Source organism: Homo sapiens, chromosome 2 (genome assembly GCF_000001405.40).
Source record: "Homo sapiens chromosome 2, GRCh38.p14 Primary Assembly".
NCBI classification, from domain to species: domain Eukaryota; kingdom Metazoa; phylum Chordata; class Mammalia; order Primates; family Hominidae; genus Homo; species Homo sapiens.
The window spans coordinates 218483341-218510974 of NC_000002.12; the positions used below are offsets into that span (position 1 = coordinate 218483341).

Below are 27634 nucleotides of genomic sequence, written 5' to 3' on the forward strand. Positions count from 1 at the left end.
ACTGATCTTCAAAGATGAGGCCCAACTTTGTGAACAGATTTGATAATGGCATCAGGCTCTTCAAGAATAAGAGTGGCTTTGAATATTAAACTGAACAAAAGTAGAACAAGACTAATCATTAGGATTTAAAGAGTGGCTTTGAATATTAAATTGAACAAAAGTAGAACAAAACTAATATTAGGATTTGACAAACAGAAGCTTCTATCACATAAGTCTGGAATAAATTAACCTTTAACACAAGTGATCTACCAGGAAAAAAAAAAAAAAGAAAAAAAAGAAAGAAAAACAAGGAGAAAAATTCCCCTTAGCATTTTTTTCCCCCCACTTGAAAAACCAAATAGCAAGAGAATGGGAAAGAGAAAAGACATCCAGCATGTGAGGTCAAAACTAGTCTTTTTAACTGTACACATAATTTCCTTAGTGACAGCTGGTAACAACCAATTCTTTGCCTTAAGATTCTTCCTCCCACCTTCCTGGCCTCAAACCACTCACAAACAGGAAAGAACAAATTCTCTTAATCCAAAAATATAAGTCTCTTAAGTCAATATAATAATACTGCTATGATTTATACACTTGAGGAGGCCGAGGCGGCCACATCACCTGAGGTCAGGAGTTTGAGACCAGCCTGGCCAACACGGCGCGACCCTGTCTCTACCAAAAACACAAAAATTAGCCAGGCGTGGTGGCGCGTTCCTGTAATCCCAGCTACTCAGGAGGCTGAGGCAGGAGAATCGCTTGAACCCAGGAGGCGGGGGTTGCAGTGAGCCGAGATCATGCCACCGCATTCCAGCCTGGGCAACAGAACGAGACTCTGTTTGAAAAAAACAAAAAACACAACATTTTTTGTAGAGATGGGGGTCTCACCATGTTGCCCAGGCTGGTCTTGAACTCTTGGTCTCAAGCAAACCTTCCACCTTGGCTTCTCAAAATGTTGAGATTACAGGCGTGAACCACCACACCCAGCCTTTATAAAGTCATTTCTTTAAAACCAACTTCCTTGGCCCGGCGCGGTGGCTTATGCCTATAATCCCAGCACTTTGGGAGGCCAAGGCAGGTGGATCACCTGAGGTCAGGAGTTCAAGACCAACCTGGTCAACATGGCAAAACCCCGTCTCTACTAAAAATACAAAAATTAGCCAGGTGTGGTGGCATACAGCTGTAATCCCAGCTACTCGGGAGGCTGAGGCAGGAGAATCGCTTGAACCCGTGAGGCAGAGGTTGCGGTGAGCTGAGATCGTGCCACTGCACTCTAGCCTGGGGGACAGAGCAAGACTCTGTATCAAAACAACAACAACAACAACAACAACAAACAACCAAAAAAAAAAACCAACTCCCATTTTCTAGAAAGGAGTAGATTATGAAATGTAAAAGAACTAGTCTCTAGGGGCTAGGTTCCAGAAATTCCACACTTACTGACAGAATATTGAAGCTAATAAAAGAAAGTAAAGCACTCTGTAGGCAAAGTGCTACATAAATACTTAATGTTAATAACAACCTTGGTGTTTGCGATCTATTCTTGGAAAGAACTAAAAGCTGTCCTGTAACCACATAATAATTTTTTGTAACTACTTCAGTTTTATGTTTATACAGAGCAGATACAATATAAGTTAATTTCATTCCTATATCAGAAAATTTATCTTATGATTACAGGAAATTTACTAATTTATAAGATCCTTAGAATGAAGGAACGCACAAACTGCAAAAAATTACTCCCTGTTTTATTCTTATATACATGTGTGTATGTGTCTATAGCAGGTTTTTACTGAAAGTATGGGATAACAGAAAAAGACTACAGCACAACACAGGGCAACAAAATATAACTGAATATTACACATTACTGAATTAAAAATTGACTAGCTAGTTCTTATAATTATTCCAAAGTCTCAGCAGCTGTATCCTCTGTTGCCATTTTCTTGGAACTCTCAAGACCCTTTTTCTCTTCAATATTTCAAACGCTTTTCCTTCCTTCCTTTAAATATATATTTCTTTCTTTTGTAGAGATGGGGTTTCCCTACGTTACCCAGGCTGGTCTTGAACTCCTGGACTCAAGTGATCCTCCTACCTCAGCCTCCCAAAGTGCTAGGATTACAGGCGTGAGCTATCACACCTGGTCACCTTTCTTATGCAAAAGCATTCTAGCTCTCTGCCCTCTTACACTCTGCACATTTCAGCTTTCCTGACCCTCTTTACCAATCCATTCTGGTAACCTTCATTTATTCAGTAATATTTGTATGAACTTTAAAAAGAAAAATTGAAAAGCAATTAAATGTACCTGGGAATTCTTTAGTCCATAGCAAAAAAAAAAAAAAAAAAAAAAAATTACCTAGGAAGCCTGTTAAATTTGTGCCTGACAAGAGCACACTTCCCACCACACTTCTCACAAGAATACTCCAGTTCTTCGGCCTATAAAAAGAAGGAAAAATAAAGCATGAAGGTGAATCAGCATTAGTATCTTAAATGCAAATAATTTGCTCTAGTCTTATTAGTTCCATTAGTGGAATGACAACTCTGAACCAGTTTTAAAAATTCTGTGTCTAGAGCCATGAGCCTTACCAAATTAAGACCCAATCCTCAAAATATACCTATAATATCATGCCCCATTTCAGAACTTCTAATTTCCTTTTTCACCAAGAATATATCTAAATTTATGATAGTAACTAGACTCTAAAATAGAAGATTCTTAGCCTTTTCAGCCTTTTCCCCATGGACACATATGAACCACTACCAAGAGTATATCCAGATTTTACCATATGGCCATAGCAGAGATAAGATCACCTTTAGGTTAGGTAGAATTTCTTGTCTGTTAGGTGTAACGCTACCCCTTTCGCATAATGGAACTCAATCTTCTCGTGACAGCCCACTAAGAACAACTGCTTTAAAAGGATGAAAAGTTGGGGTGAATACCATTACCTAGAGAACACTGAAACAAGAAATCCTTAAAAAATGGGGGTAAAAATACATAGGAAAATCTTCAAAGTCTATGATAATAACAAGAATAGTTTAAAAATGACTAAAAGAAAAGCAGAGTATTTATCTTTGGGTAGAGCTCAACGTTCACCATTTAATAAACAGATTTTTTTGTCTGTTTGTTTTGACACAGAGCCTTGCTCTGTCACCCAGGCAACTGGGTGGGAGGGAGGGGCGTGATCTCAGCTCACTGCAACCTCCACCTCCAGGGTTCAAGTGATTCTCGTGCCTCAGCTTGCCAAGTAGCTGGGACTACAGGCATGTGCCACCATACCTGGCCAACTTTTGCATTTTTAGTAGAAGCAGGGTTTTGCCGTGTTGGCCAGGCTGGTATTGAACTCCTGACTTCAGGTGATTGGCCTCCCTTGGCCTCACCTTGGGATTACAGGTGGGAGCCACCACACCCAGCCAGATTTTTTATTTTTTTTATTTTTTTGAGACAGAGTCTTGCTCTGTCGCCCAGGCTGGAGTGCAGTGGCGCGATCTCGGCTCACTTCAAGCTCCACCTCCCAGGTTCACGCCATTCTCCTGCCTCAGCCTCCCGAGTAGCTGGGACTACAGGCGCCCGCCACCACGCCCAGCTAATTTTTTTGTATTTCTAGTAGAGACAGGGTTTCACCGTGTTAGCCAGGATGGTCTCGATCTCCTGACCTCGTGATCCTCCCACCTCAGCCTCCCAAAGTGCTGGGATTACAGGCGTTAGCCACCGTGCCCGGCCTTATTTTTATTTTTTATACCTTAGGAAGACAATCCTGCCAATTTGCTACAACACAACAAGGACCGCTACTAGACAGATCAAGGGGGAATCGATTCTTGCAAATTTCCACTAGTTTATAAGGACTGCTATAACAACAGTCTGATTATGCCCCAGAAACTTTCTCAATATCTGTAACGGTATATCACAGACACAAATATGTATCTACAGCTTTGGATAAACATGATTCTTTCTTCCTGTTTCTAATAGGGTACGTACAACCTAAGAAAGAGCAAAGAATATTTTCTTATTCTGCAGATCTTAGGATACCAACTTACGTGATATCTACAGTTTTAATTTCATGTTACCAAATTTTAGAATATGTTACTTCAAATACTTTAATATTTGTTTACAAATAACAAACTACTTTTTTTTTTTGAGACGGAGTCTCGTTCTGTCGCCAGGCTGGAGTGCAGTGGCGTGATCTTGGCTCACTGCAACCTCCCACTCCCAGGTTCAAGTGATTTTCCTGCCTCAGCCTCCTGATTAGCTGGGACTACAGGCACACGCCACCATGCCCAGCTATTTTTTGTATTTTTAGTAGAGACCGGGTTTCACCATGTTGGCCAGGATGATCTTGATCTCTTGACCTTGTGAACCGCCTGCCTTGGCCTCCCAAAGTGCTGGGATTACAGGTGTGAGCCACTGCGCCTGGCCAACAAACTATTTCTAAGATTGTCTAAATGCTTGCTATTGAGTTAAATTTATAATCTATTTAAGCAATTAATTTTCTTTTTCAATGAGTTATAATTAGATTTATCAAGCTTTTAAAAATAATAATAATTTACAAAAACTTCTCATCTGTTTTCCCCACGAATAATGTTGTTGAAACTCTGCCAAAACCAGGTGTGGTGGCTCACACCTGTAATCCCAGGACTTTGGGAGGCCAAGGTGGGCAGATCACTTAAGGTCAGGAGTTCGAGACCAGCCTGGCCAACATGATGAAACCACGACTCTACCAAAAAGTACAAAAATTCACCAGACATGGTGGCATGATCCAGCTACTTGGGGAGGCTGAGGTGGGAGGACCGCTTGAAACTGGGGGCAGAGGTTGCAGTGAGCTGAGATTGTGCAACTGCACTATAGCCAGGGTGACAAAGTGAGACCCTGTCTCAAAAAAAAAAAAAAAAAAAAAAGAAAAGAAAAGAAACTTTGCCTTGAAGAAACCAACTTCAAATATTCAAATACAACTATCAATGATATAAAATTTAGTTATGTGAAAATACAAAAGATATTATTTACCCTAAAGAAAAGATCAAGAGAATCTTGAATTGAACGAGGAGGGAGTGGTTTTTTCCTACGAGGAAGGTCAATAGAGAGGTCATTAAACTGTTCTCTTTTGGGGATAATCTCTCCACATCTGTAAGAATAAAATGAGACATGTAAGCATTTAGACCAATACACAAGAAACACAAATATACCTGAGAAACTCTGTTCTTCCACAGAACTTATGGTACTGACACACTATCACCAGGCATAAGAACTATATACATTTAAGACTTTTTCATGCTTACTTTAACCCTTATTAAATTAATACAGATAAAACCTCAATTGCAAGTATTTAAGTACTTTACTTAAATCTTTTTTTTGTGAGATGCAGTTTCGCTCTTGTCACCCAGGCTGGAGTACAATGGTGCGATCTCGGCTCACTGCAACCTCCGCCTCCCGGGTTCAAGCGATTCTCCTGCCTCAGGCTCGCAAGTAGCTGGGATTACAGGCATGCGCCACCATGCCCGGCTAATTTTGTATTTTTAGTAGAGACGGGGTTTCTCCATGTTGGTTAGGCTGGTCTCGAACTCCCGATCTCAGGTGATTCTCCTGCCTTAGCCTCCCAAAGTACTGGGATTACAGGCGTGAGCCACCACGCCCGGCCAATTTTTAAACTTTATATAAGCAACCCCCAAACTTTAAAAAACTAAAGTATAACATAACATACAAAAGTGAACCTGTCGCAGGTATACAGCTTGATAAATTATCAGTTAACACATTCATTACCACTCAAATCAAGAAACAGGGCCAGGTGTGGTGGCTGGTGCCTGTAATCCCAGCACTTTGGGAGGCCAAGGTGGGTGGATTACCTGAGGTCAGGAGTTCGAGACCAGCCTGGCCAACATGGTGAAACCTTGTCTCTACAAAAAATACAAAAATTAGCCAGGCGAGGTGGCGCGTGCCTGTAATCCCAGCTACTTGGGAGGCTGAGGCAGGAGAATCACTTGAACCCAGGAGGCGGAGGTTGCAGTGAGCTGAGATCACGCCACTGCACTCCAGCCTGGGCGACAGAGAGAGACTCTGTCTCAAAAAAAAAAAAAAGAAAAACAACAAAAAAAGAAAGAAACAGAACAACACCATCAACTCCCTAGAAGCCCCCTTGCACATATCCTTTTCCAATCACTACCCTCCTTCCTTCTCCCCCAAAATAACTATTTTTTATTTTTTTGAGGCGGAGTTCTGCTTTTGTTGCCCAAGCTGGAGTGCAATGGCACGATCTCAGCTCACTGCAACCTCTGCCTCCCCGTTTCAAGCAATTGCTACCTCAGCCTCCCAAGTAGCTGGGATTACAGGTGCACACCACCACGCCTGGCTAATTTTTACTATTTTAGTAGAGATGGGGTTTCATCATGTTAGCCAGGCCAGTCTGGAACTCCTGACCTCGTGATCCACCTGCCTCGGCCTCCCAAAATGCTGGGATTACAGGCACCAGCCACCACACCTGGTCCCAAAAGACAATTATTATTCTGACTTCCAACACTATAGATGTTCTGCCTGTTTTTGAACCTTTTATAATGGGATTATGCAATATGTTTTCTTTTAGTTGGCCCCTCTTTTGTTCAGCATGATTGTAATATTTAACTATGCCTGCTGCGCATGACTCTACTGCATTTTCGTTGTTGTATAGCTTTAATCTGTATGAATATTCTACAATTATCCATGTTAGTACTGATGAGCATTTAGGTTGTTTCCAGTTGTTGGCTATATAAGTAATGCTGCTTTAAAAATTCTACATGTTTGGCCAGGCACAATGGCTCACGCCTGTAATCCCAGCACTTTGGGAGGCCGAGGTGGGCGGATCACGAGATCAGGAAATCAAGACCATCCTGGCTAACACGGTGAAACCCCGTCTCTACTAAAAATACAAAAAATTAGCCAGGTGTGGTGGCAGGCACCTGTAGTCCGGAGGCTGAGGCAGGAGAATGGTGTGAACTCAGGAGGCTGAACTTGAAGTGAGCCGAGATCGCACTACTGCACTCCAGCCTGGGAAACAGAGTGAGACTCCAACTCTAAATAAATAAATAATCTACATGTTCTTTATGTGCATATGTGGATACTTCTATTAGGCAGCAGAATGATTTAGTTATCAAATATATTTTTTATAGAATTTTAAAACGTGAGCTCAGAGATTAAAACACCATATTCAATTTACCTAGAGGCAAATTTCTTTTAAATAGCTTTAGCTGACCGTTTTTCATTTTGTCTTATCAGTACTTTAGGTAATATTCATATTTCTACCCTAATTCCCTACTGTTACAGCTAAAGACTGAAAAACATAAGAGTATATTTGTCTTTGATTCAACGAACATTTACTGAGTGCCTCTCTAACAGGCAGAATTCTAAGGTGACCCTCGACTTTGTATATTTCTGTCCCCTTTGAGTGTGGGTAGAACCAACCTGTGATAATGATGAGCTGTCACGCCTATGATGATGTTATTTTACCTGGCCCAAAGGAATTTTGCAGACATAATTAAGGTTACTAATCTTAACTTCGAATGAATCAAAAAGGAGATTATCTGAATGGGTCAGATCCAATCATATGAGCCCTTCTGTTTGTTTTTGAGACAGGCTCTTGCTCTGTTGTCCAGGCTGGAGAGCAGTGGCCCGACCACGGCTCACTACAGCCTCGACCTCCCAGGCTCAAGCAATCCTCCCACCTTAGCCTCCCAAATAGCTGGGACTACAGGTGTGCACCACCATGTCTGGCTATTTTTAAACTTTTTGTAGAGAAGAGGGTATCGCTATGTTGTCAGGGCTGGTCTCAAACACCTAGATTCAAGTGATCCTCTTGCCTCAGCCTCCCAAAGTGCTGGGATTACAGGCATGAGCCACCATGCTCTGCCCATATGAGCCCTTTAAATCTGGGTCTAGAGGATAAAAAGAGAAGTCTGAAGTAAGCAAGATGTATACTTCCTACTAGCCTGGAAAAAAGCAAACAGCACTGTTGTGAAGTGCCTATGAGGGGGCCATGTGGCAAGGATCTATAGGCAGCCTTTAGGAAATGAGTGGTTCCAGTGGACAGCTAGCAAGAAAATGAGGATCTCAGTCCTATAACCATAGGATCTGAATTCTACCCACGACCTTAATGAGATAGAAGAGGAACCTGGGCTCCAGATGAGAGCACAGGCAGTAATACCTTTATTTCAGCCTTATGATACTCTGAGCTGAGAACTTAGCCATACTGTGCTTAGTTTTCTGACCTACAGAGCTGGGATGAATAAATGGGTGTTGTTTTAAGCTAATATGTTTGAAGCAATTTCTTACACAGCACTGAAAACCTAATAGGGCCTCCTACATGCCAGAAAATGTTCTAGGCACTGGGGTGATAGCAGTGAATAAACCAAGGCAAAAATACCTCCTCTCATGAAGCCATCATTATACTGGGAGAGACAATGAAATCGACACTAGTAAAACATACAGTATGTTAGATAGTGATATATGTAAAGAGGAAATACATAGTAGGGAAGAGGGAAATGAAAGATCAGAGCAGAGTATCTGATAGCATGGCAAGAAAACACATCACTGAACAAATGGCCTTTATGTAAAGATCTGGAAAAGTGAGGGCACTATCTAAATGAGAATATGGGGGCCAGGTGTGGGGGCTAGTGCCTGTAATCCCAGCATTTTGGGAAGCTGAAGTGGGAAGTTGGCTTGAGCCCACAAGTGTCAGACCAGCCTAGGCAACATTGGAAAACCCAATCTCTACAAAAAATCAAAAAAATTAGCCAGGCATGGTGGTGTGCACCTGTAGTCCCAGCTATTCGGGAGGCTGCGGCGGGAGGATTGCTTGAGCCAGGGAAGTTGAGGCTGCAGTGAGCTGTGATTAAGCCACTGCACTCTAGCCTGGGTGACAAAGCAACACCCTGTCTCAGAAACAAATCAGCAATTAAATAAAAATAAAAATAAGAGAATTTTGGGAAAGAGAATTCAAAATAGAGGAAATGGTAAGTGCAAAGACTCTAAGGCACTATGATCCTGGTGTTTTTGAACAAAAGCAAGGAAGCTCATTTCGTTAAAATAGAATGAGCAAGGGAAAAGTGTGACAGAAGATGAAGACAGAGAGTTAAGAGAGATGGGGGTAGGAGTGCTGAGAGGCAGATTACATGAGGTTATACAAGTCACAGGCTTTTAAATTTTATAAGCAGAAGGTTGACATGAACTAACTTCCATTTTAAATGGATTGCTTTGGCTTATGTGTTTAAAACAGACTGCAGAAACATGGTAACTAATTTAAAAGATGCTGCAACAATTCAAACAAGAGATGATAGTGGCTTGGTGTAGGGTAGTGGCAATGAAAGTGGTAAAAAGAGGTCACATTCTGGATGTATTTCCAAGGTAGAGCTGAAAGGACTTGCAGACATATGAGATGTCAGGTTTGAGAAAAAGAAATACAAAGCTGGGCACAGTGGCTTACGCCTGTAAACTCCAGCAATTTGGGAGGCCAAGGTGGGAGGGTTGCTTGAGGCCAGTTCAAGACTAGACTGGGCAACACAGTGAGAGCCCGTCTCTAGAAAAAATTTAAAAATTAGCTGGGTGTGGTGGCATGTGCTCGTAGTCCTGGCTACTCTAGATGCTGAGGTGGGAAGGATTGCTTAAGTTCAGGAGTTAGCAGGCTATAGTAAGCTATGACTGCACCACTGCACTCCAGCCTGGGTGACAGAGCAAGACTCTGTCTTAAAAAAAAAAAAATTTTTTTCCCTCATATTCAAGAATATATTATTAATACACTGAATTGCCTTATATTAATTAAAAAGCAGTCAGTTTAAACTGTAATGGTTTTTTTTAAAAAAAGTACATTTGCCAAACTGGCCAAACAAACCTATAGCAAGATGGGGCAGAGGATAAACACACAAAATTACAATCCAAAGGGTAATGTGTGTGGAATCTTCCTTCAGCCAGAAACTACTTTGTGTTAGAGAACTGTCCTAAATAAAATTACTAATGAAGCAACAGAACCCTATCCCCACCCAGCTGGCACAACCTGCCCGGTCTAGCCACCTGGTGTGCCTATATCCCATGACCCATGCCATTTATTGCATTGATGCACATACCTCAACTGCATATCCAACATCTGGGTGCTGTACAATTAAAGTGCCTAACACCACTGGCACAGTGTAGAAGCTACTACTCTGATATGGCCTTCTTTCTTTCTTTTTTTGAGATGGAGTCTTGCTCTGTCACCCAGGCTAGAGTGCAATGGCATAATCTCAGCTTACTACAACCACCTCCTCCCAGGTTAAAGCAATTGTCCTGCCTCAGCCTCCCTAGTAGCTGGGACTACAGGTGTGCACCACCACGCCTGGCTAATTTTTGTATTTTTAATGAAGATGGGGTTTCACCATGTTGGCCAGGCTGGTCTCGAACTCCTGACCTCAGGTGATCCACCCACCTTGACCTCCCAAAGTGCTGGGATTACAGGCGGGAGCCACCATGCCCAGCCTGATATGGCCTGCTTTCTTCTGGGTTGCCTGAATGATCCCACTGTCCAGCTCCCCAGACCTGACTGACAGAGCTGGTGGACTGCCTGTGGTCATTTTCAACTGAGGCAACTTAAATTTTCCTATAAAAAAAATTTGAATGGTACGCCCATAATTCAATGAAATAATAACTGAAAACTTTGCCTCTCACTTTGACTTGCACAAATTTTGTCTGGAAGGTGCATTAGAAGGAAGAGATAAATGGCTATTATATTATTAACTGCTGTTGGACTCTCCAGCTTTTATAAGCTGAACCATACTTGCAAGATCCGGATATTTTCTTTAGACAACCATTTATCCACCAGGGGGAAAAGTCTGATGAAGTCCTGAATGAAAGCAAGCAGTGTCACAGACTACTGATGCAAAACTGTCTTTATTAAAATTCTGGTTAAAAATGCTAGAATGTTATAGCTGGAAAAGATGTCAGTGAACACTATCATTTTGAGCAGCCTGAGAAAAATAGATATGGAGGACAGAAAATTGGAGAACCAATATGGATTATGAATATTTCTGAAGAAAATTCCAGAATGGAAAAGAAGCAGTATTTAGAGAATAGTTTTCTGGAGCTGGAGAAAATCCCAAAGCTTCAGATGAAAAGGCTCTACCATATTAAGGCAAAAGTAACAAAAAGTGTTAATAACTAGATGTAAACTAGTGAAACTGTGAATTTCAAAAATAAAGAATACCACAGATTTTCAGGAAGAAAAAGAAAAAAATTCCCACAAAGTCAGGTTTCTTATGAGTGGCACAGAGTAATAGGATATGATAGGGCGGTATACTTAATACACTGATGGGTAAAGACTATGTGTGAGTCAATAATTCTGCATTAAGTCATGTGTGAAAGTCATAGAAATAATTCTCTCTTATATAGAGACTGTGAAGAATTACATTTTATCTGAAAAAAATCTATTCAGAGATGTACTACAGATGACTGGAAGATTAGTCAAAGTAAAATATTTTAAAGTGATGTGCAGGCTATAGAAGTCCTGATAAGTATGGAAATTAATTTAATGTAGAAAGTCTGGATAATTACTGTAAATACGGTTGAAAAACATTGCAAAAGGTAAAAATAATTCAAATTCGGATCTATTTTGTAAAAGAAAATATTTTTAGTAAAAATAATTTGGGGTTCAACCAAAAAAGCAAGTAATAAGTTGTGTTTTTTTTTCAGTGACAAAGAAAAACAAGTATTCCCAAACAAATCGATATTCTACAATGGAAAAGATGTAGAATGAAAAAAATAAAACTATAGATTAAAATTAAGTGTTAGGCAATACTAAAGTGTATAATAAAGTATTTAAATTTTCCTCAGTTCTCACTCTGCCACGCGTTTTTGTTTCGTTTTGTTTTTTGAGATAGGGTCTTGCTTTGTTGCCCAAGCTGGAGTGCAGTGGCGTCATCATGGCTTACTGCAGCCTCAACTTGCAGTGTTCAAGCAATCCTCCCACTTCAGCCTTCCAAGTAGCTGGGATTATAGGTGTGCATCACCACACCTGCCTAATTTTTATATATTTTGTAGAGATGGGGTTTCCCCATGTTGCCCAGGCTGGTCTTGAACTCCTGGGCTCAAACCATCTGCCCACCTCATCCTCCCAAATTGTTGGGATTACAGGCATGAGCCACTGTGCCCAGCCCAAGCATTTCTATAGAAAAAGACTCTGAAAAAAAGGTTTGATATAATCTGTTGGTTTATATTTCCCCTATGACGTAGAAAGGAAGATGAGATAAAAATTCATTACTCGGGAGGCTGAGGTAGGAGGATCACTTGATCCCAGGAGATCCAGGCTGCAATAAGCTGGGGTTGTGCCACTGCACCCAAGAGCCTAGGCAACTGTGTGAGACCCTGTCTTAAAAACAGAAAAGAATTCATGGCATTTGGTATGTCATAGAAGAATTTTAATCACTTGCCATAAAGAAGTAAAAAGGGAAATCATTTCTTAGACACTACTTACGCTTTACAAATGATGGAGTGCTGAACCTCAAACTCCAAATTAGTAATAACAGGGCAAGTGTATGCTCTGGTAGCTGAAATATCTGGTGAATTTTCTTCTCCAGAAACAGGTTCAGTCTTCCAAGTTTTATTTAATTTTTCCATATCTTCTTTCAGCTGGTCCAAACACTGACTTAAAAATTCATGAGCATCCTAATAAGACAACAATATCCTTAATCAGATAAAAACATTTCTTGTCACAATAGCTTACTGAGGCTGGGTGTTGTGCCTCATACCTGTAATTCCAGCACTCTGGAAGGCTGAGGCAGGCGGATCACTTGAGGTCAGGAGTTCGAGACCAGCCCGGCCAACATGGTGAAATGCCATCTTTATTAAAAATACAAAAATTAGCCAGGTGTGGTGGCAGTCCCTGTAATCCCAGCTACTTGGGAGGCTGAGGCAGAAAAATTTCTTGAACCTGGGAGGCAGAGGTTACAGTGAGCCAAGATCGCACCATTATATTCCAGTTTGGGTGACAGAGCAAGATTCCGTCTCAAAAGAAAAGAAAAAAAAACCAACAACAAAAAACAAAACAAACAAAAAATAATAGCTTATTAACATTATAATTTATACAGTGAAAACCCTTGAAAGTCAATGACATATGTGAACAATGTCAGGTTTATTCTTATAAGAATTTGGGGAGCTGCATATTTTGTGAATAAAAACAAATGACAGATTATATATTCTTAATAATTATATCAGTTGCACTGACATGAATCAATGAATAACTCCTCACTTTGTTAAAAGAGGTAATTTTCGCAGGTAACACAGCCCAGGTCCTTGCACTGGTAAATCAAATCTATATTTGAAGAGTCACATTTAATCTTACTACAGCTCCTTAGGTTTTTCTTTCTTTCTTTCTTTCTTTGAGACAGATTTTCGCTCTTGTCACACAGGCTGGAGTACAATGGCACAATCTCGGCTCACTGCAACCTCTGCCTCCAGGGTTCAACCGATTATCCTGCATCAGCCTCCCAAGTAGCTGGGATTACAGACATGCGACATCACGCCTGGCTAATTTTTTTGTATTTTTAGTAGAGATGGGGTTTCACCTCATCAGTCAGGCTGGTCTGGAACTCCTGACCTCAGATGATCCACCCGCCTCGGCCTCTCAAAGTGCTGGGATTACAGGCATGAGCTACCGCACCCAGCCTCTCCTCAGGTTTTTCAATCTATAATGAACACACATACACAAATCTCGTTTTAAAATAAAAATCAAGAAACACACTAAAATCATGTCAATTTCCATGATTTCTTACACGTTATTTATTTGTTTTATTTTTATTTTTTTGAGACAGAGTCTTGCCCTGTAGCCCAGGTTGGAGTGCAATGGTGCGATCTCAGCTCACTGCAACCTCTGCCTCCCAGGTTCAAGAGATTCTCCGGCCTCAGCTTCCTGAGTAGCTGGGATTACAGGCATGTGCCACCATGCCCGGCTAATTTTTTTTAATCTTTAGTAGAGACAGGGTTTCACCATGTTGGCCAGGCTGGTCTCAAACTCCTGACCTCATGATCCACCCACCGTGGCCTCCCAAAGTGCTGGGATTATAGGCGTGAGCCACCGCACCTGGCCTATTTTATTTATTTTTATAAATATTTATTTATTTATTTTTTGAGATGGAGTCTTGCTCTGTCACCCAGGCTATAGTGCAGTGGTATGATCTTGGCTCACTACAACCTCTGCCTCCCGGGTTCAAGCAATTCTCCTGCCTCAGGCTCCCGAGAAGCTGGGATTACAGGCGCATGCCACCACGCCTGGCTAATTTTTGTATTTTTAGTAGACACAGGGTTTCGCCATGTTGGCCAGGCTGGTCTCAAACTCCTGACCTCAGTGACCTCAGGTGACCTGCCCACCTAGGCCTCCCAAAGTGCTGGAATTACAGACGTGAGCCACCGTGTCAGGCCTCTGAAACGTTTTAAAACAATTAATACTCACATTCTGCATATAACCAGAGAATCTCTCTGCTGTAGCTGAAATGGCATTTTTAACCTTCTTGAGTAAATCCTTTTTGGTCTCTGAATTACAGATATCTTTTTTAACAAGCAAGTGTGCAAAGCGTCTAGTAAAACAAAAAACACAAAGTTAGCACGTTTTACATGACATGGCGTGATATTTTAAAGAATAATTACTAATAATGGCACAGAAAATTTTTGAGTGTCTAAAATTCCATTATTCTATAATCAATGAAGTAAAAGGTTACTCAGTAAGTACAGTACATAATGATTACCTGATAAGTGCATTGAGTGGAATTTTCTTCCATGGGATACCTTGTTTAAGCAAGTCATTTGCAAATGACTGGAGTGAAAATAGAGATTGTAGAATAGCATTCATATAGCAGGTATTTCCCAAATTGGAGAAGCTGAAAATTAAAGAAATAGTGCTTTAGAAGGCAACAGGAATTCCTAAAGTATGTTCAGTATAGTAGGAGTTCTCCACTTTATGTTTCAGAATCACCTGGAGGGCTTGTTAAACTACATATTACTACACCCTAACCCCAAGGTTTCTGATTCAGTAGGTTTGGACACAAATGTGTCCAAAAAAAGAAGGCACAAAAATGTCCATTTCTAACAAGTTACTAGATCACGTTGATGCTGCTGGTCTGGGGACTCTACTTTGAGAACTACTGCATTATGACATTATAATAATAGGCCAGGCGCAGTGGCTCATGCCTGTAATCCAAGCACTTTGGGAGGCCGAGGCAGGCAGATCACTTGAGGTCAGTAGTTTGAGACCAGCCTGGCCAATATAGTGGAACACTGTCTCTACTAAAAACACAAAAATTAGCCAGGCATGGTGGTATGCGCCTGTAATCGCAGCTACTTGCAGGCTGAGGCACGAGAATCGCTTGAACCCAGGAGGCAGAGGTTGCAGTGAGCCAAGATTGTGCCATTGCACTCCAGCCTCAGCAACAGAGTGAGACTCTGTCTCAAAATAAATAAAATAAATAAATAAATAATAACTTAGTTTGATCTAATGGAAAAGTATACATTTTCAAAATTAATGCTAAACATGACTGGGGGCTTAACTAAAGTGCTTTTCATTCTTACTTATAATTTATTTTTTCATTTAAATATAACTTATTCATTTCTCTGAAAATGAATGCTCAGAAAAGGAATTACTGGGTCATAGAATATATGTGTTTAGGTACTGCCAAATCTTTTTCCTAAGTACAAATATATTTTAAAAACTTTTTATGCCGGGTGCAGTGGCTCATGCCTATAATCCCAGCACTTTGGGAGGCCAAGGCGGGTGGATCACAAGGTCAGGAGGTGGAAACCATCCTGGCTAACACGGTGAAACCCTGTCTCTACTAAAAATACAAAAAATTAGCCAGGCGTGGAGGCATGCGCCTGTAGTCCCAGCTACTTGGGAGGCTGAAGCAAGAGAATTGCTTGAACCCGGGAGGCGGAGCTTGCAGTAAGCTGAGATCACGCCACTGCACTCAAGCCTGGGCAACAGAGCAAGACTATGTTTTTTAAAAAAACAAAAAACAACAAAAAAAAACCTTTTAATTTAGAAATAAATTTAGACTTCCAGAAGAGATGCAAAAATCTTTACCTGGATTCACCAACTGTTATACTTCTGTAATGTGCACTTCATCACTTAATATCCCTCTCTCTATATATTTTTCTGAAACCATTTCAGAGTAAGTTGCATTTATTAAACCCCTTTAGTTCTAAATACTTTAGTGTATATTTCATAAGACCATTCTTATAAATAATCAGAGTACAATTATCAGCATCAGTAAATGTAACACTGATACAATATTCTATCTAATATACGTTTCTTAATTCAATTTTGTCAACAGATCCAAGAAGGTTCTTTATAGCTTTTCTTCCCTCACTTAGGTACAAGATTCAGTCCAGGATCACATGCTGTTTTCATGTATGTCTCTTTAGTTTTCTTTAATCTGGAGTAAGTCCTCAGCTTTCTCTTACATGACACTGACATTTTTGAAGAATACAGTTCTCCCTACCCTGGGTTGTTTTATTTTTGTTTTTGAGACAGGGTCTTGCTCTGTTGTCCTGGCTGGAGTGCAGTGGTGTGATGACAACGTACTGCAGCCTCAACCTCCCGGGCTCGAGCAATCCTCCCACCTCAGCTTCCCCACTACAATGTGTGCCACTATGCCTGGGTAATTTTTTAATTTTTGTAGAGATGGATCTCACTATGTTGCCTAGGCTGGTATTGAACTCCAGGGCTCAAGCAATCCTCCTTCCTTGGCCTCCCAAAGTGTTGGGATTACAGGCGTGAGCCACTGCACCCAGCCTGTTTTTTTCGTTTTTTCTTTTTTTAGACAGAGTCTTGCTCTGTTGCCCAGGATGGAGTGTAGTGGCGTGATCTCAGTTCACTACAACCTCTGCCTCCCGGGTTCAAGCAAGTCTCATGCCTCAGCCTCCCAAATAACTAGGGTGACAGGCGTGTGCCACCACACGCAGCTAATGTTTGTATTCATTTATTTATTTATTTATTTATTTTGAGACGGAGCCTTGCTCTGTTGCCCAGGCTGGAGTGCAGTGGTGTCATCTCGGCTTACAGCAACTTCCATCTCCCAGGTTCAAGCAATTCTCCTGCCTGAGCCTCCTGAGTAGCTGGGATTACAGGTGTGCACCACCAGGCCTGGCTAATTTTTTTGTATTTTTAGTAGAGGTTTCATCATGTTGATCAGGTTTGTCTTGAACTCCTGATCTGCCCGCCTTTGCCTCCCAAAGTGTTGGGATTACAGGCATGAGCCACCGTGCCCAGCCTGTATTTTTAATAGAGACGGCGTTTCCCCATGTTGGCCAGGCTGCTCTCGAACTCCTGACCTCAAGTGATTCACCTGCCTCAGCCTCCCAGAGTGCTGGGATTACAGGTGTGAGGCACTTCACCTGACCTAGCCTTATTTTTAATAGAACATCCCTCATACTGGGTTTGCTATTTCCTCATGATGAGATTCAGCCTAAACTGGAAGAGCACATGAACAAACAGTGATACCATGTCATGCCTTTTTTTTTTTTTTGAGAGCTTGTTTGGAGTTTCTAGCAGGGGAGTGCAGCTACTCGTATACTCTTGGCTGAAGACCAGTCCTCCTCTATTGGGGATGGTCATCCTCTTTGACTGAGCACGCAGGTTTGCGACAGACACACATGGAGTGGTGAGGGAGGAAGGGGATACCCGCCTAGCCAGTCAGATCAGCCAAATCAACCCTGGTGAACAACGGGGTGACAGATGTCACAGTCAGATCGCCCTCACATCCAATCTTTTTTTTTTTTTTTTTGAGAGGGTCTCATTCTGTTGCCCAGGCTGGAGCACAGTGGCACAATCTTGGCTCCCTGCAACCTCGACCCCCCCGGACTCAGATGATCCTCCCACCTCAGCTTCCTGAGTAGCTGGGGTTACAAATGCGCACCACCATGCCAGGCTAATTTTGTATTTTTTTGTAGAGACAGAATTTTGTCATGTTACCAAGGCTGGTTTTGAACTCCTGGGCTCAAGCAATCTGCCTGCCTTGACCTCCCAAAGTGTTGAGATTATAGGTGTGAGCCACATGTCTGGTGGACACTGTATCCTTCTAAGGGCATCACATCCAGGAATACATGATATTCCTGTGTTGCCCATGGGTGATGTCAATTTTGAGTACCTGAGAGAACTACTGCTTCTGCTTCTGCCTATGAGGAAGTTTGAGAGTCTGGAATTACCTTCCTACTATAAACAATGAGAAAACTGGACAAAATAGAGAAAACAGCTATTTTCAGATACTAGACAATAGGCAGCACAAAACAGTGATCCATAAGAGAAGGAAAATAAATGATGTGAGTCCTACTATTACCCAGATTTTCTGTCTGGAGGCAATTTGTGAACTGCAATTCAGGGAGCACCCAAACAGAGCCTAGAAATCTTACCAAGTTGAGCTGAGAGAAATGAGTTCGAAAAGCTGAGGTTGCTGAGATTTCTGGGACAGAGTACTTGAGAGGAAGGAACTGAACAAAGGAAAAGCTCCAGAAATCTGCATAGCAGTCTGCTTGAATATTTGGCTGAATACCAACCTGTGTATGCAGAGTGAAACTCAGTCTTCTTGACACTAATCAAGAACAACTTCAAGGAAAAGAATGTTTACTATGGAGCTACTGGCCAAACAACTCCCAGAACTCACACAGGGACTAAAATTCCACCAGTTCGAATTTACACCAGTCAGAGTAGAGAGACCTAGATGAATTCACAGAGTGTTAACAGAGACTCCAAAGGAACTATGCTTTAGGAAAGGAAGCAAATTAGCCTTAGAGTAAAGGATACTCTATATTCAAAAAGAACTTAAGCAGATCACACAGCTGAGAAAGAAGAAAAAAAACAGAAATGAAAAAGAAGAACTTAAACAGGAGACTCAAAACAATCAAAACTACTGCAGACAAGAATATTAAAACAACTACTTAAAATATGCTCTACACGATCAAGAATGGAAAGGAAATCATAAACATAATGAGAGAAGTGAAAGATTTTTTAAAGACCCAAATTAAACTTCTAGAGATGAAAATCACAATATTTAAAATGAAAATTTCACTTGATGCGATTAATAGCATATTAGACACTGTAGAAGGAAATATCTGAACTTGAAAAGACAGCAACAGAATAGATTCCCACTAAACCTGTGGGACGATATCAAATACAATTATATTTATATCAAATATAACTGGAATCCAGAGAGAAGAGTCAGAAAAAAAATCTGAAAAAATCAATATATAAAAACGTTCAAAATCTGATAAAAACTAGAAACCCACAGATCCAAGAAGCTCAACAAATCCCAAGTGAGATAAACACAAATCAAAATGAAGCCCACCAAAATAAAACTGCTAAAAATTAGCAACGAAGAGAAAATCTTGAAAAGCAGTCAGAGAAAAACTGTCTCAGTGCCTTCAAGGAGGAAGATTAAATCACTTACAAGGGCAGAAGAATTAGACTGGCATCTTATTTCTGAAAAGCAAATACAAAGCAAGGTAACAGTAAAGTAGCATTATAAGAAACCCAAGGAAAGAAAGCATGACCCAAGGATTTTACATCCAGCCAAACTATTTTTCAAATATCCAAGCTAGAGAAAAAATTTTGAATATGCAAGAACTAGGGAAACAAGGTACATAATTGTAAAGTTAAGACTAAAACAAGATTAAGACCGTAGGCTTCTAGTCAGAAATTATACAAAAAAGAAGACAAAGAAAAGATATCTTTAAAATACTGAAAGAAACACATTATCACGTTAGAGTTCTATATAAGCTAGATTTCTAGATCCAATGGAAATATCTTTTAAAATTAAAAGCAAAATCCTTTTTCTGACAAACAAAATCTGAGAATACTTGCTGCCAAGAGACACGCACTGTAAGAAATGTTAAAGCGACATTCTTCATGCAGAAGGAAAAATGATACCAGACAGAAACTCAGATCTACACAAAAGAAGAGCACTTAAAACAGGAAATCATGTGGGAAAATACAAAATACATTTCTGTCTCATCTTTTAATTTCTTTAAATACACTGGACTGTTTAAAACAATAACACCAAATAATACACTTTAAATAGGTAACTACACGGTACGTGAATTTTTAAGGCTGTAAAAAAATCCTAACTACGTATTGTGGGATGTATAACATACATAGAAGTAAAATGGGCTGGGCGCGGTGGCTCACGCCTGTAATCCCAGCACTTTGGAGGCCGAGGCGGGCAGATCACCTGAGGTCAGGAGTTCGAGACCAGCCTGACCAATATGGAGAAACCTCGTCTCTACTAAAAATATAAAATCAGCAGGGCGTGGTAGCACATGCCTATAATCCCAGCTACTCTGGAGGCTGAGGCAGAAGAATTGCTTGAACCCGGGAGGCGGAGGCTGCAGTGAGCCGAGATCGCACCGTTGCACTCCAGCCTGGGCAACGAGAGCAAAACTCCATCTCAAAAAAGAAAAAGAAAAAGAAAAAGCAGTAAAATGTATGATAACAGTATAAATGATGTGGGGTGGGAGGCAATAATGGAGATAAAATGAACACAAAGGAAAGAAAGAAAAGAGAAAAAAGTAACCAAGGACAGATGGAACAAATAGAAGACAATTAGCAAGATGGTAGACTTAAACTCAGCCTTATCCATAATTGTGAAAAATGTTAATGGTCTAAATACTTCAACCATCAATTTAGACTGGATGATCTAATCATAAAAATGTGGAGTCACTATTAATATAAGACACAGCAGACTTCAGAAAAATATTATCAGGGATAAAAAGGGGCATTTCATAACAATAGGGAGGTCGATTCATTAAGATTTAATTAATATAATCCTAAATGTGTATGTGCCAAAAACAAAGCTATAAAATACATAAAGTAAAAACTGACAGAACTGGAAGGAAAAATATACAGGTTTCTGGCCTAATATACAAATTTCTGACCTAAGTTCTACTTTACTGGGTATCAGGACTGCAGCCTCTGATTTCTTATTGTTTCCATTAAATAATCTCTCCCTCCCTTTATTATAATACTTTTTGAATTACTGTTCTACGTATATTTCTAGTATGCAGCACAGAGTTCAGTTTTGCTTTATGAGACAGTTTTAGACTTTTTATATTGCTGTTAACCCCTTTATCATAAATTTTTAAAATCATCTAGCCTGTCCATTTTATTATTTTATGTTAGAGACAAGGTCTTGCTCTGCCACTTAGGCTGGAGCACAGTGGCACGACCATAGCTCACTGAAACTTTAAACTTCTGGGCTCAAGCAATCCTCCAGCCTCAGTCTCCCCGGTAGCTGGGATTAAAGACATGTACCACCATGTTGGGCTAATTTTTTATTTTATTTTATTATTTGTAGACAGAGGGTCTTGCTATGTGGCCCAGGCTGGTCTTGAATTCCTAGCCTCAAGTGATCCTCCCATTTCAGCCTCCCAAAGCGCTAGGATTACAGATGTGGGCCACTGTGCCTGGCCTAGCCTGCTCATTTTATTTATTTTTTTATTTTTGTAGAGACAGGGTCTTACTATGTTGTCCAGGCTGGTCTTGAACTCTCAAGCTCAAGTGATCCCTCCAACTTGGCCTCCTGAAGTGTTGGGATTACAGGCGTGAGCCATTACACTCAGCCTATTCATTTTAAATGGTATCCTTTGACTCACACCTATTACTTTATGAAACAGTCAACTACATTATTCTACTTTCTTCCTTCTCTCTCTTCACCCATTTTCTTTTAGTTGCAATCTTACTACTTTATCAGAAAAAAAAATTTGGGGGGAAATAGTGTCTCATTTTGTCACTCAAACTAGAGTGCAGTGGTGTGACCACGGTTCACCGTGGCCTCGACCTCCCAGGCTCAAGCAATCCTCCCACCTCAGCCTCCCAAGCAGATGGAACTACAGGTGTGCACAACCACACTTAGCTAAATTTTTTTTGTATTTTTTGTAGAGATGTGGTTTTTCTGTGTTTCCCAGGCTGGTCTCGAACTCCTGAGCTCAAGTGATCTGCCTGCCTCAGACTCCCAAAGTGCTGGGATTACAGGTGTTAGCCATCATGCCCAGCTGACATAATGTTTATATACCATTCTTTTATATGTATTCTCACCATTGTTTGTCTTAGTTCTATAACTGAATATATGAAATGTTCATCATTTACGTTTTTGTCAATGTTTCTCCAGTTACTCTTGGACGCATGAAGCTCATTTTCTGTAGAGTCCTCAGGAAGAGCAAATGTGTGTATAGTATTCCAAGTTCTTATACTCCAAACCTTTTTTCTCTAGCTTGCATATTTGACATCTTGGCTTGGCATGAAATCTTTGTTTCACACCTCCTTTCATTGAGTTTCTTGAAAATGATGTTAGTGTTATCCTGCTTTGCATGATGATTTTGAGAAGTCTGATGCCAGACTATTTCTGTTGCCCTTGTAAGTTATTTCATCTTTTTGATTCAGGAACTGAGGATTTTTCCTTGTCTTTAAAGTCTAATAGTTGTACTAAGATATGTCTTGATTATTCTAGGTCAATTTTCCAGATTGAAAGAGCTGGAAAGCTCTTTCAATATACAGATTCGAGACTTTTATTTCAGTGAAGTCTTCTTGGATTATAGCTGTTTTGTTGTTTTTTTTTTGAGACAAAGTCTTGCTCTCTGTCACCCAGGCTGGAGTGCAGTGGACTATCATGGTTCACTGCAGCCTTGACCTCCTGGACTCAAGCAAGCCTCTTGCCTCAGTCCCCTGAGTATCTGGGACCAGAGGTGCACGCCACCAAGCCCAGCTAATTTTTGTACTATTTGTAGAGATGGGGTTTCGCTATGTTGCCCAGATTGGTCTCGAATTCCTGGGCTCAAGAGATCTACCCACCTCTGCCTCCCAAAGTGCTGGTATAACAGGCATGAGTCACCATGCCCAGCAGGATTATAGTTTTTAACACTACTTCTGTCTCAATGCTTTAATCTTCTTCTTCCGGGACACTAATTATATGTAATATGGGTGTATTCTTTGCCTTTTTTCTAGTTCAACTACTTTCTTTCTGGCTTTTTTTTTTTTTTTTTTTTTTGAGATGGAGTGTCACTCTGTCACTCAGGCTGGAGTGCAGTGGTGCGATCTCAGCTCACTGCAACCTCCGCCTCCTGGGTTCAAGAAATTCTCCTGCTTCAGCCTCCTGAGTAGCTGGGATTACGGGCACACGCCACCATGCCTGGCTAATTTTTCTATTTTTAGTAGAGATGGGGTTTCACCATACTGGTCAGGTTGGTCTCGAACTCCTGACCTCAGGCGATCCATGCACCTCCCAAAGTGCTGGGATTACAGGGGTGAGCCACCACGCCCGGCCCTTTCTGGCTTTTTATACTTCTTTTTTTTTTTTTTTCATCTTTTTTTCCCTGGCTTTCCTTTTTAAAGCCCATTTCCATTTGAAATTATTTTCACTTGAGTATCTTTAATTTAAAACTTCATTTTCAATATGTCTTTTCTTCTCCATCTTTTCTGAGTTAAAGCATTTGTCATTTCATTTATTCTTGCTTGTCCATTGTCATTCTCAGTTTGAATTTTTTTTTTCTTTTTGAGACGGAGTTTTGCTCTGTCGCCCAGGCTGGAGTGCAGTGGCGCGATCTCAGCTCACTGCAACCTCTGCCTCTTGGGTTCAAGCAATTCTCCTGCCTCAGCCTCCCGAATAGCTGGGATTACAGGCACCCGCCACCACATCCAGCTAATTTTTTTGTATTTTTAGTAGAGACAGGGTTCATCATGTTGGCCAGGTTGGTTTTGAACTCCTGACCTCAAGTGATCCACCTGCCTTGGCCTCCCAAAGTGCTAGGTTTACAGGTGTGAGTGGTGCCTGGATTTTTATTCATGCTACTTTTTCATATTTTCAAGTGCTTCTTTCAAGGTATTTAATTATATTTATTTATTTATTTATTTGTTTTTTTGAGATGGAGTCTCACAGTTGTCCAGGCTGGAGTAGAGTGGTGCAATCTCGGCTCACTGCACTCTGCCTCCCTGGTTCAAGTGATACTCCCTCCTCTGCCTCCCAAGTAGCTGGGATTACAAGCTTGTGCCACCATGCCCAACTAATTTTTGTATTTTTAGTACAGACAGGGTTTCACCATGTTGGCCAGGCTAGTCTCGAACTCTTGACCTCAAGTTATCCGCCTGCCTCGGCCCCTCAAAGTGCTGGGATTACAGGTGTGAGCCACAGTGCCTGGCCTTAATTCTATTTAGCGTCTACCCACTGTAAACGGTTTACTTCATGGTTTGTTCTAGGGGGCAGAATTTTCACTGGCTGAAATATTTTGATTCATGCTTCTGTTTTTTTCTTATAGTCATTTTTTTATGGAAGTGGCCTGCTTTTTTACATTCCTATTCATTTTGTGAATAGGGCTTAATTGAAGCACTTAGTTTAGCAAAGTATAGTTTCTTTAATGGATGAGAATGATGGAGGTGGAGGGAGGGGAAAAAGAGAGGTTGGCACGTCTTGTTTCCCTTTCATTTTGACATGATCCTTAATTTTCTTCTCTTGCTTCTAAATCAAGTTTCCAGACTTGGCTAATTCTTCTCTATAAGTAATGATTCTTTGAGGCTGTTATTCTGGTACCACTGACATTCAAGCCTCTTCCCTATAACTAGTTCTGCAAACTACCAAGATCCAGATTCAGTATTTTGCTACTTATTATTGGATTTTATGTTTCTGGGAGTGATTTTCTTCAGTGCTTCATCTAAGTCTTCCACTCCTATAAATTATTTTTCATGGAATCCCTTAGGCTCCCTTCCCTAACTCTCAGCACCCACAGGCTTCACCAGTAGAAAACAGGAACACTGAAGGAATTTGGTTTGCTTCTGTTCTGAAGAAGGTAACTTAAAGGTGGTGGTATTGTCTCCTAGCAATGCTGAAGCATAGATTATGTGTGCTTTTCTTTGTACTCCTGGTTAATCTTATGGTTTTTTTTGGAGGATTTGTGAGGAACATTGCAATTAGGCAGTCTCCATTACCCTTTAGACCTGGTAGTTTTCTACTCAGTTTTTTTTTCTTTTTTTTTTTTAAAAGGAGTTCTTAGTCCTGAGTACTTACACTGCTTGAAATTACACTAAACTAATTCCTGGAAGAAGTCTAAAAAAGAGGAAAGATGTATTTCTAGAGATGGGTATAGGTACTATACAGAAATGAAAGAAACACTGAAGAAGCCTAGAGTACCAAGGGTGGCAACTCACAAGGCTCTCAAAAGAATCTGAAGGAGGTGAATAACAGAAACCACAAGTAAACTAAAATATATACAGGAGAAGGCAATAGGAAAATGAAACAAGTAAGATCAGGGTAGACAGAGACACAGACCCAGATGAAGAATGGTCACAAAATGGGATAGATAAGACCAATATAAAATGTTGTCTGGTTAGGAGGCAGCAAGATAACTGAGGTTGAACAATTAGAATGAAGAACAAAGGAAATTAAGCATTTGACTGGAAAGCAAACATCATAGAAGAGTAGAAAAGATGAAGATTAAAGAAAGCAACAGGTAAGCAGAAAGGAGAGTGAATTGTTTTCACTGCAAATTTTATGATGTTTTCTGCCAATATATGAAGCATATAAACTACTACGGATAAGCCATTTGGCAAATACCACTCATTCAAGTAATGTTGTAAGTTTAAAGCTGGTATAAAAGCAGTACTTTGAGTGAGATTAAAAACAAATAAGTTAATAGGTTATGAGAGAGCAGTTTGGTAAAAACAATTAAAAATTTCAAACTGTCTTCCTTAGTCTTAATCCTTAACAATTTTACTTCCGACAATTTATCCTACAGAAAATTTCCAACAAGCATTAAAAACATACATATGTGTATAACGATCTTCACTCTAGCCTGAATTACATTTGGAAAAAAGAGAAACCTTATGCACACTTACATGGTTGAAAGTTCTGTATTAATATACATAGGTGCCAAGATTAATGTGCAGTGAAAAAGATAACAGAGAAGCAATATAGCATAGTGATTAAGAATGCAACTGCAGCACTACTGCCTGGATTTACTACTGCTGTACTACTGACTATATCACTTTGAGCAAGTTAATTAACTTTGCTAAGCCTTATTTTATTCATAAAACCAGATTTTTAATATATCTATCTCAAAGACTTGTTGCGAAGATTTAAAATTTAAAAAAAATCAATTTAAGCACTTAGCAGACAGTATCTGGCATGTAATAAACACTTTAGGTAATAGAGCTACTGGCCAGGAACAGTGGCTCATGCTTATAATCCCAGCACTTTGGGAGGCTGAGGAGGGAGGACTGCTTGAGGCCAGGAGTTCTACCAACCTGCAACATAGTGAGATCCCATTTCTATTAAAAAAAAAATTTAAAAGATAGCTACTATAATTACTACAGTTATTATACTATGATCTCATTTTTGTGTTTAATATATATATAACCATGAAGAACCTAGGGAAAATATATAAAAAATGTTGAAAGTATCTCAGCAGCAGAATGAAGTGTACTGGGTTGGAAAATACACATTTTCTGCTTTAAAATGAATATTATATATATTCCAAAGTTCTAAAATTGTTTGGTGAACAGAAAATGAAGTTAACATTACTTATGGATGTAATAAATCTTTAATAAGTGATCTAATTTCTAAATATTTTAGAACTTTAATGTGACTCCTTTAATTACATTTTACACCAAAGCACACTTCTATTGAATCACTTTATAAAAAAGAAAGTAAAATGAAAGAATTGACCTACCCCTGCAGTTGCTGCTGTTGGTGAGAGGAAAGGGGCACTCTTGGTTTATTCCAGCCAGTGTAATCCTGGTTACACCTCAGTTTTTTAACAGAAAGAGGAACTGGCTGAGGAAGAAATCCCAAACTTCTTTTGGCAGAGGGAGTCTGGCTTGAAACATTAGTCCTACAAAAAAGCATAAATAATGAAGAAGCAAAATAAATTTTTGAATACTACTATTTTCCTTGAATAGATTAAGAGAAGTCAATGTTTAAGGAAAAAAATCTTGAATTTAGGGAAATATCAGTAATAATGATCACTTAAGGGAAAACTCTACAAACGTAAATTAGCAAATCTGTTCCTACACAGTTGGAGAGGGTTATAATACAGAACATATTTAACCTACAACCAAAATAATCCATGTTAATGGCTTGAAAAAGAAAACAATACATATAGTTTCACTGTTATCCATTTTATGGATATTACATTTACCTAGTCTTGAACAGATTTACAGTATACTTTTTCCACTGTTACAAATAACACAACAAACATTCTTACCCAATCTCCTTGAGAAATTCCTCTAGTTTATATGCATAGAAGTGAAAATGTTGGAGGTATTTTCAATCTTCATTTTTAATTTTTTGAGATATTGTGATTATTTTCCAAAAAGGCTATACCAGTTTATACTTCAAACAACAGTGACCTTCCATCGCCTCATATGTTTACATTACTTATTATTATCAGTTTTAATTTTTTTGCTGGGTCCGGTGGCTCACGCCTGTAAGCCCAGTACTTTGGGAGGCCAAGGTGGGCGGATTGCTTGAGCTCAGGAGTTTGAGACCAGCTTGGGCAACCTGGCGAAACTCCATCTCTATCAAAAATGCAAGAAAATTAGCCAGGCGTGGTGGGGAGGACCTGTAGTCACAGCTACTTGGGAGGCTGAGGTGGGCAGACTGATTGAGCCTGGGAGGCAGAGGTTGCAATGAGCGCAGATTGCACCACTGCACTCCAACCTGGGTG

General features: G+C 40.2%; 1 protein-coding gene and 1 pseudogene across 1 annotated transcript in view, besides 1 other annotated feature; both read right to left on the reverse strand.

The window, feature by feature from the left end:
- The window catches only part of USP37 (ubiquitin specific peptidase 37), a 118101-nt gene that overhangs the window by 33090 nt on the left and 57377 nt on the right, over nt 1-27634 (reverse strand). Inside the window, exons 11-16 of the mRNA NM_020935.3 lie at nt 26639-26800; nt 14686-14817; nt 14394-14517; nt 12420-12610; nt 4964-5081; nt 2324-2403 (exon numbers count right to left, since the gene is read on the reverse strand). Coding sequence (NP_065986.3) covers nt 2324-2403; nt 4964-5081; nt 12420-12610; nt 14394-14517; nt 14686-14817; nt 26639-26800 — 807 coding nt within the window. The remainder of the gene's footprint in view (nt 1-2323; nt 2404-4963; nt 5082-12419; nt 12611-14393; nt 14518-14685; nt 14818-26638; nt 26801-27634) is intronic.
- Nucleotides 17389-17697, reverse strand: RN7SKP38 (RN7SK pseudogene 38; annotated as a pseudogene).
- Nucleotides 18204-18775: an enhancer, noted in NCBI's record as "NANOG hESC enhancer chr2:219366267-219366838 (GRCh37/hg19 assembly coordinates)". NCBI's record gives its function as "activates a minimal SCP1, AML or CMV promoter by ChIP-STARR-seq in primed H9 embryonic stem cells {active_cell/tissue: H9 hESC(primed)}" and the evidence as "EXISTENCE:reporter gene assay evidence [ECO:0000049][PMID:30033119]".